The 8,651-nt window shown below is 44.0% G+C and overlaps 2 annotated features.

Annotated features, from left to right (window-relative positions):
* Window positions 1,359-1,534: a silencer, noted in NCBI's record as "fragment chr15:50674110-50674285 (GRCh37/hg19 assembly coordinates)". NCBI's record gives its function as "represses an EF-1alpha promoter that drives an FKBP-Casp9 reporter gene in an ReSE screen in K562 erythroleukemia cells {active_cell/tissue: K562}" and the evidence as "EXISTENCE:reporter gene assay evidence [ECO:0000049][PMID:32094911]".
* Window positions 3,783-3,948: a silencer, noted in NCBI's record as "fragment chr15:50676534-50676699 (GRCh37/hg19 assembly coordinates)". NCBI's record gives its function as "represses an EF-1alpha promoter that drives an FKBP-Casp9 reporter gene in an ReSE screen in K562 erythroleukemia cells {active_cell/tissue: K562}" and the evidence as "EXISTENCE:reporter gene assay evidence [ECO:0000049][PMID:32094911]".

Raw genomic sequence — 8,651 nt, forward strand, 5'->3', positions numbered from 1 at the left:
AGGTCAAAAACAAGTAAAGTATCTATTTTGTTAGAAAAGAGGATATTTCTGGCCAGCTGTGGTGACTCACGCCTGTAATCCCAGCACTTTGGGAGGCCGAGGCGGGCGGATCACGAGTTCAGGAGATCGAAACCATCCTGGCTAACACGGTGAAACCCCGTCTCTACTAAAAATACAAAAAAATTAGCCAGGTGTGGTGGCAGGCGCCTGTAGTCCCAGCTACTCGGGAGGCTGAGGCAGGAGAATGGCGTGAACCCAGGAGGCGGAGCTTACAGTGAGCTGAGATCGCGCCACTGCACTCCAGCCTGGGCGACAGAGCGAGACTCTGTCTCAAAAAAAAAAAAGAAAAGAAAAGAGGGTATTTCTGGTAGTCCAGTGGTTAGGAAAAGGAGAGAAAAGAGGATAATTGTTATCCTTGGTGTGTGTGGGGAAGGGTGTACAATGTAGCAACTGGAAAGAGACAGGAGGAAGATTTCTGGTGTAGAGGTGTTGTTATCTTTCTTGATCTGATAATAGTTACACAGGTATGTTCAATTTATGAAAATGCATTGAAATATACATTTACGATTTGTGCCCTTACTCTATGTGCAAATTATACTACAGGATTTTTTTTAAGTCGGAGGTCTCAAATCTGCCATTATTCTCATAATAGGTTTGAATCAAAACTGTAATTTGTCATTTTTCCTCTGATTTATCTATTTATTAAAATTATCCATGCTTCACATTAGTTTCTTCCTTCGAAAGCTCTAAGTGCCCAGTTGTCCACATCTTGAAATGTTCTAATCATTTCCACAGAACAGAATATTACACTAAGTTCTGGGCTCTGTGGACCCTCTAGTTGTTATAGAATATAGCTTATCTCCCTTAAAATACACAACACTAATGAAGTTGCTCAAATAACCACATGGATAATAACATCCATTTAGTTTGGAGTCCACAACCATAAACAAAGTCTAGCACAACTACAACTATGGATATCCTCAGTTTGGTAGTGCCTTGGTGACTCTTGTTGCCACATTCTAGTCTTCTAGTCTCCTTGAGAACATTTGGATGTTAACATCATGTTCAGGAGGAAATAATGTTAATGGAGGGGGACGGATGTCAGGAATTCCTTGGTTTTGGCAGCTTCATTATTCATAAGTTATTCACCATTCAGGAGAGGTGACTATACAAAAATGTCTTCAATACAGTAATCTAAATGCTAGAGAAAAAGAAATGAACTAAGTTTTTTTTTAAATTTTTTTTTTACAGGCAGTCCCTGAAATTAAATAGGTCTAGAGAGACTCCCTGCACTAAGCTTTAAAAGTAAAACTAGGCTTAATATTAGAGATTCCTGATATTTAAAATAATACATTGCTGGTTCAGAGAATGTGCACTTTTGTTTTGTTTGAGACGGAGTCTCCTTCTGTCACCCCGAGGCTGGAATACAGTGGTGCCACCTTGACTCACTGCAACCTCCACCTCCCAAGTTCAAGCGATTCTCCTGCCTCAGCCTCCCAAGTAGCTGGGATTACAGGCGTGAGCACCATGCCTGACCGAGTGTGCACGTTTTTATTGGAATTACATTTCACCCAAAATGTGATTTGGAGGGAGAGGACATTTTAAATAATGTTCCAATTTGTAATCCAAGAACATGATGTGTCTTTCCATTTATTCTCCTGGTTTTTAATGGAAAGTTTTGAAGATGTCTCCTTTAGCCCCTGCCCATTTCTTATTTGGTTAATTAATTTCTAAATAAACATAAGTGGACTTTAAGACTCCTGGGACTCAGGGGTTCCAAAGGAACCCACGTGATCTTTTTCTTCTTTAAGCTGTACATCTAATATAATTGATATGGTTTGGATTTGTTTCCCTGCCCAAATCTCATGTCAAATTGTAATCCCTCCCAGTGTTGGAGGAGGGGCCTGGCGGGAGGTAGTTGGATTATGCCGGTGGATTTTCCCCCTTGCTGCTCTCATGATAGTGAGTGAGTTCTCATGAAATCCAGTTGTTTAGAAGTGTGTAGTATTTCCCCCTTCTCTCTTTGTATCCTGCTCTCGCCATGTGAAGATATGCCTACTTCCCCTTTACCTTCATGATTGAAAATTTCCTGAGGCCTCCCAGCCACAGCCTGCAGAACCTGAGCCAATTAAACCTCTTTTCTTTTTTTTTGAGACAGAGTCTTGCTCTGTCGCCAGGCTGGAGTGCAGTGGTGCGATCTCAGCTCACTGCAACCTCCACCTCCTGAGTTCAAGCTATTCTCCTGCCTCAGCCTCCTGAGTGGCTGGGATCACAGGTGTGTGCCACCATGCCCAACTAATTTTTTTTTTTTTTTGAGATGGAGTCTCGCTCTGTCACCCGGGCGATCTCAATTCCTGGGTTCAAGTAATTCTCTTGCCTCAGCCTCCCAAGTAGCTGGGATTACAGCGTGTGCCAACACGCCCGGCTAATTTTTGTAATTTTAGTAGAGACAGGGTTTCACCATGTTGGTCAGGCTGGTCTCGAACTCCTGACCTCATGATCCGCTTGCCTTGGCCTCCCAAAGTGCTGGGATTACAGGCATGAGCCACCTCGCCCGGCTACCTCTTCTCTTTATAAATTACCTAGTCTCAGGCCAGGCATAGTGGCTCATGCCTGTAATCCCAGCATTTTGGGAGGCTGAGGGGGGCAGATTGCTTGAGGTCAGGAGTTCAAGACCAGCCTGGCCAATATGATGAAACCCTGTCTCTACTAAAAATACAAGAAAAAAATTAGCCGGGTGTGGTGGTGAAGGCCTGTAATCCCAGCTACTGGGGAGGCTAAGGCAGGAGAATCACTTGAACCTGGGAGGCAGAGGTTGCAGTGAGCCAAGATCATGCCATTGCACTCCAGCTTAGGCAAAAAGAGTGAAACTCAGTCTCAAAAAAAGTAAAACATAAAAAAATAAAAGAACACAGAAGTCTGTGTGTGGTGGCTCACACCTGTAATCCCAGCATTTTGAGAGGCTGAGGCAGGAGGATAGCTTGAGCCAGATGTTCAAGACCAGCCTGGGCAAGATAGCAAGACCCGTCTCTGCAAAAGAGTTTTAAAAATTAGCCAGCCATGGTGATGTACATCTGTAGTCCCAGCTACTCAGGAGAGTGAGGGAGAAGGATTGCTTGAGCCCAGCAGTTTGAGGCTGCCATAAGCTATGATCATAACACTGCATACATACTGTTGCCTGGGCAACAGAACAGGACCCTGTCTATAACAAATAACAACAAAAACAAAAACAAAATAACAGGGTCAGACGCGGTGGCTCACACCTGTAATCCCAGTACTTTGGGAGGCTAAGGTGGGTGGATTACGTGAGATCGGGAGATTGAGACCAATCTGGCCAACATGGTGAAACCTTGTCTCTACTAAAAATACAAAAAAATTAGCTGACCATGGTGGCGGGTGCCCGTAATCCCAACTACTCAGGAGACTGAGGCAGGAGAATTGCTTGAACCCAGGAGGCAGATGTTGTGGTGAGCCGAGATCATGCCACTGCACTCCAGCCTGGGCCACAGAGCAAGGCTCCATCTCAAAAAATAAGACAAAAATAAAAATGAGGGCCCACAATAGAATGAAATGACAAGTCAGCCTGGGAGAAAATATTTGCAAAAGACATATCTGATAAAGGAATGTTATCTAAAATATACAAAGAACTCTTTGGCCGGGTGCGGTGGCTCACACCTGTAATTCCAGCGCTTTAGGAGGCCAAAGCAGGTGAATCACTTGAGGCCAGGAGTTCAATACCAGCCTGGCCAACATAGTGAAACCCTGTCTCTACTAAAAATAAAAAATAAAAAAATGCAAATAACTTAAAATGCAACAATTTTTTAAAAAATCTGATTTAAAAATTGAGCTAAAGACCTGGAAAGACACCTCACTAAAGAAAATATACAGGGGCCGGGTGCAGTGGCTCACACCTGTAATCCCAGCACTTTGGGAGGCCGAGGCGGGCAGATCACAAGGTCAGGAGATCGAGACCATTCTGGCTAACACAGTGAAACCCCATCTCTACTAAAAATATTTTAAAAATTAGCTGGGTGTGGTGGTGTGTGCCTGTAGTCCCAGCAACTCAGGAGGCTGAGGCAGGAGAATGTCATGAACCCAGGAGGCAGAGGTTGCAGTGAGCTGAGATCGCGCCACTGCACTCCAGCCTGGGCAACAGAGTGAGACTCCCATCTCAAAAAAAAAAAAAAAAAAGAAAACAGAAAAAAAAAGAAAATATACAGGGAGCTGGGCATGGTGGCTCACACCTGTAATCCCAGCACTTTGGGAGGCCAAGGCAGGTGGATCACTTGAGGTCAGAAGTTCGAGACCAGCCTGGCCAACATGGTGAAACCCCATCTCTACTAAAAATACAAAAATTAGCCAGTCGTGGTGGTGTGCACCTATAACCCCAAGTACTAGGGAGGCTGAGGCATGATAATTCCTTGAACCAGGGGGGCAGATGTTGCAGTGAGCCAAGATTGCGTCACTGCCCTCCAGCCTGGGTGACGGAGAGAGACTCCATCAAAAAAGAAAAAAACCCATGAAACAAAATAAAGAAAGCAAAGAAGATATATAGACAGAAAATAGGGGCCGGGTGTAGTGGCTCATGCCTGTAATCCCAACAGCACTTTGGGAGGCCAAGGTGGGCAGATCACTTAAGGTCAGGAGTTTGAGAACAAATGGAAAATAGACATATGAAAAGATATTCCACATCATATGTCATTAGGGAAAAGCAAATTAAAACAACAATGAGATACCACTATACACCTATTAAAATCACCAAAATTCAGAACAATGACGATACCAAAAGCTGGTGAGGATATGGACCAACAGGAATTCTCATTCATTACTGATAGGAATGCAAAATGATATAGCCAGTTTTGGTTTGTTTTTGTTTTTGTTTTTAACTATCCAGTTAAATTGACAAGGAATGATACAGCCACTTTGGAAGACAGTTTAGCAGCTTCTTACAAGAGTAAACATAATCTTACTTTGCAATCCATTATCAGTCATGCTCCTTGGTGTTTACCTAAAGCAGTTGAAAACATGTCTACACAGAAATCTGCATACAGATGTTTATAGCAACTTTATTCATAATTGCCAAAACTTGTTTTCTGGTTTTTTTTGGTTTTTTTTTTTTTTTTTTTGAGATGGAGTTTCACTCTTGTTGCCCAGGCTGGAGTGCAATGGCGCAATCTCTGCTCACCGCCACCTCCCCCTCCCAGGTTCAAGCAATTCTCCAGCCTCAGCCTCCCGAGTAGCTGGGATTACAGGCATGTGCCACCTCTCCTGGATAATTTTGTATTTTTGGTAGAGACAGGGTTTCTCCATGTTGGTCAGACTGGTCTCAAACTCCTGACCTCTGACCTCAGGTGATCGGCCCGCCTCGGCCTCCCAAACTGCTGGGATTACAGGCATGAGCCACTCCCGGCCAATTGCCAAAACTTGGAAGAAACCAAGATGTTTCTCAGTAGGTGAATGATAAACTGTGGTACATTCAGACAATGGAAAGACATGGAGGAAAGTTAAATGCATATTACTAAGTGAAAGAAGTCGATCTAGGCCAGGCACGGTGGCTCACATCTTGTAATCCCAGCACTTTGGGAGGCCAAGGCGGGTGGATCACCCGAAGTCAGGAGTTCAAGACCAGCCTGGCCAACATGGCAAGACCCTGTCTCTACTAAAAATACAAAAATTAGCTGGGCGTGGTGGCGGGCGCCTGTAATCCCAGCTACTCGGGAGGCTGAGGCAGGAGAACTGCTTGAACCCCAGAGGTGGAGGTTGCGGTGAGCCAAGATCACGCCATTGCACTCCAGCCTGGGCAACAAGAGTGAAACTCCGTCTCAAAAAAAAAAAAAAAGAAGAAGAAGAAGGAAGAAGAAGTCGATCTGAAAGACTCTGTACTTCATGATTCCAACTATATGACATTCTGGAAAAGGCAAAAATATAGAGACAGTAAAAAGATCAGTGGTGGCCAGGCGCAGTGGCTCACACCTGTAATCCCAGCACTTTGGGAGGCCGAGGTGGGCAGATCATGAGGTCAAGAGATCAAGACCATCCTGGCCAATATGGCGAAACCCTGTCTCTACTAAAAATATAAAAAATTAGCTGGGCATGGTGGCACACACCTGTAGCCCCAGCTACAGGTGAGACAGGATAATCGCTTGAACCTGGAGGTTGCAGTGAGCCAAGATTGCACAGAGTGAGACTCTGATCTCAAAAAAAAAAAAAAAAGATCAGTGGTACATAGGATTAGGAAGGAGAAAGAGATGTCCAGATGGAGCACAGAGGAGTTTTAGTGCAGTGAAATAGTCTGTATGACACTAAAATGATGGATACATGTAATTATACATTTATCCTAACCAACAGGGTGTACAACATCAAGAAAGAACCCTAATGTAAACTGTGGACTTTCATAATGATGTGTCAATGTAGGTTCATCAGTTCTAACAAATGTACCGCTCTGGTGGGGGATGAGATAATGGAGGAAGATATGTGTGTGGGTGAGCAGGGTGTATATGGGAAATCCGTGCATCTTTCTCTCTATTTTGCTGTGAACCTAAAATTGCTCTAGAAAAATAAAGTCTTTAAAAAAAAAAAGTAGGACCCTAAAGGGATTTTGTTTATGTAGTTTAAATCTATAGATACAGTTTTAAGCTTATGGCAAAATTGAGAGGAAAGTATAGAGATATCCCATTGCTGTGGTTTGAACATGTCCCCATAGTTTATGTGGCTCCCCAGTTTTTTTTGTTTTGGAAATTAAAGCTTTTTTTAATAAAAATATATTACTTATGTTAACATATATGATACAATAAGAAATATATATTTGGTCTTTGCCCCTGGTTTTTATTTTTATTTATTTATTTATTTATTTTTGAGACAGAGTTAGGCTCTTGTTGCCCAGGCTGGAGTGCAATGGCACGGTCTCGGCTCACTGCAACCTCTGCCTCCCGGGTTCAAGTGATTCTCCTGCCTCAGCCTCCTGAGTAGCTGGGATTACAGGTGCCCGCCATGACACCTGTTTAATTTTTGTATTTTTAGTAGAGATGGGTTTCTCCATGTTGGTCAGGCTGGTCTCGAACTCCCAACCTCAGGTGATCCGCCGGCCTCAGCCTCCCAAAGTGCTGGGATTACAGGCGTGAGCCACTGCACCCAGCAGAAACGTTGTTGTTGTTATTGTTGTTGTTGTTTGTTTGTTTTTGTTTGTTTGGCGAGATGGAGTCTCACTCTGTCGCCAGGCTGGAGTGCAGTGGCGCGATCTTAGCTCACTGCAACCTCTGCCTCCTGGGTTCAAGTGATTCTCCTGCTTCAGCCTCCCGAGTAGCTGGGACTACAGGCGCGTGCCACCATGCCCAGCTAATTTTTGTATTTTTTAGTAGAGACGGGGTTTCACCATGTTGACCAGAATGGTCTGGATCTCTTGACCTTGTGATTCGGCCTCCCAAAATGCTAGGATTACAGATGTAAGCCACCGCGACTGGCCACCAAAAATTTTTTTAAAGACTGAAGCCAGGGCACTGTGGCTCATGCCCGTAATTCCAGCACTTTGGGAGACCAACGCGGGAGGATCACTTGAGCCCAGGAGTTCGAGGCCAGACTGGGCAACATGGTGAAACCCTGTGTCTACAAAAAATACAAAAAAAAAAAAATTAGTTGCATGTGGTGGCATCCACCTGCTGTTCCAGCTACTTAGGAGGCTGTGTTGGGAGGATCACCTGAGCCAGGGTAGTAGAGGCTGCATTGAGCCATAATAGCCTCACTGCACTCCAGCCTAGGAGACACAATGAGACCTTGTCTTAAAATAAATAATAAAATAAAAAGATTGACAAAAGGGCCAGAGTCCTTTGACTCAGTCCTTGGCTAGGGACCCAAAACCTTCTGCAGAAGAGAGAGTAAAGTTATCTGGGGGTGGAGAAAAGAGGTTCTTGAAACTAGAATATCAAAATGTAAAGGTTGAAGGGATTATGAAGTTGGTATATTTGAACATACTTCATGTGAAGTGATTGCATCTCTTTAAGACTAAATAGGAACCAGTAAGATTGCTCGAGCCTACCTAGTGCAGAGTATAAGCTGGAATTCTGGTAGAGACAAATTCTCCACTGCATAACCCTCTGTGAAGTACTTCCTGGGGCTTACGGTGGAAGCCTCTGAGCACCTCCCAGAAAAAACTACTGGGTCTTTAGACTAGAGAATTTCCACTTGAGGGGCATTTAGTGCCTTGCTGTGAAACCTTAGCTGAAACTCTGCCTATGACACTTGAAATACCCATGCTGTCTTGGGTGATGTCAGAGAAACATTCTAATGTGGGTGGCAGTGCCCAAAAGAGCTCCATAATAAAATGGAAATGGTTTATAGAGGATCATGCTACCTAAGGAACGCAAGAAAGAGACACTCTTGAATAGGGAGTTTCTTTTCCCCTAGGACTGACTCTGGAACTGTGTGAGAAACTGTTGGATTCTGCAGTGCCCAATAAACAGCTCTCAGCTGACTAACCAAGAGCTGCTTGGTTCGTGAATAGCAATTCCTGGGAAAATGGATACCATCTTGTTTGGAAGGCTGATACTTTGATCCAAGAAGGTAAAACCAGGTCTGCTCAGTGGGCTGAATTGCATGCTGTTTTTCTAACACTGATGGAAGAGTTGAACACCTTGTACAAGCCCCTGTATTTGGGT

The sequence above is a fragment of the Homo sapiens genome, chromosome 15, assembly GCF_000001405.40.
Source record: "Homo sapiens chromosome 15, GRCh38.p14 Primary Assembly".
Lineage (NCBI taxonomy): Eukaryota > Metazoa > Chordata > Mammalia > Primates > Hominidae > Homo > Homo sapiens.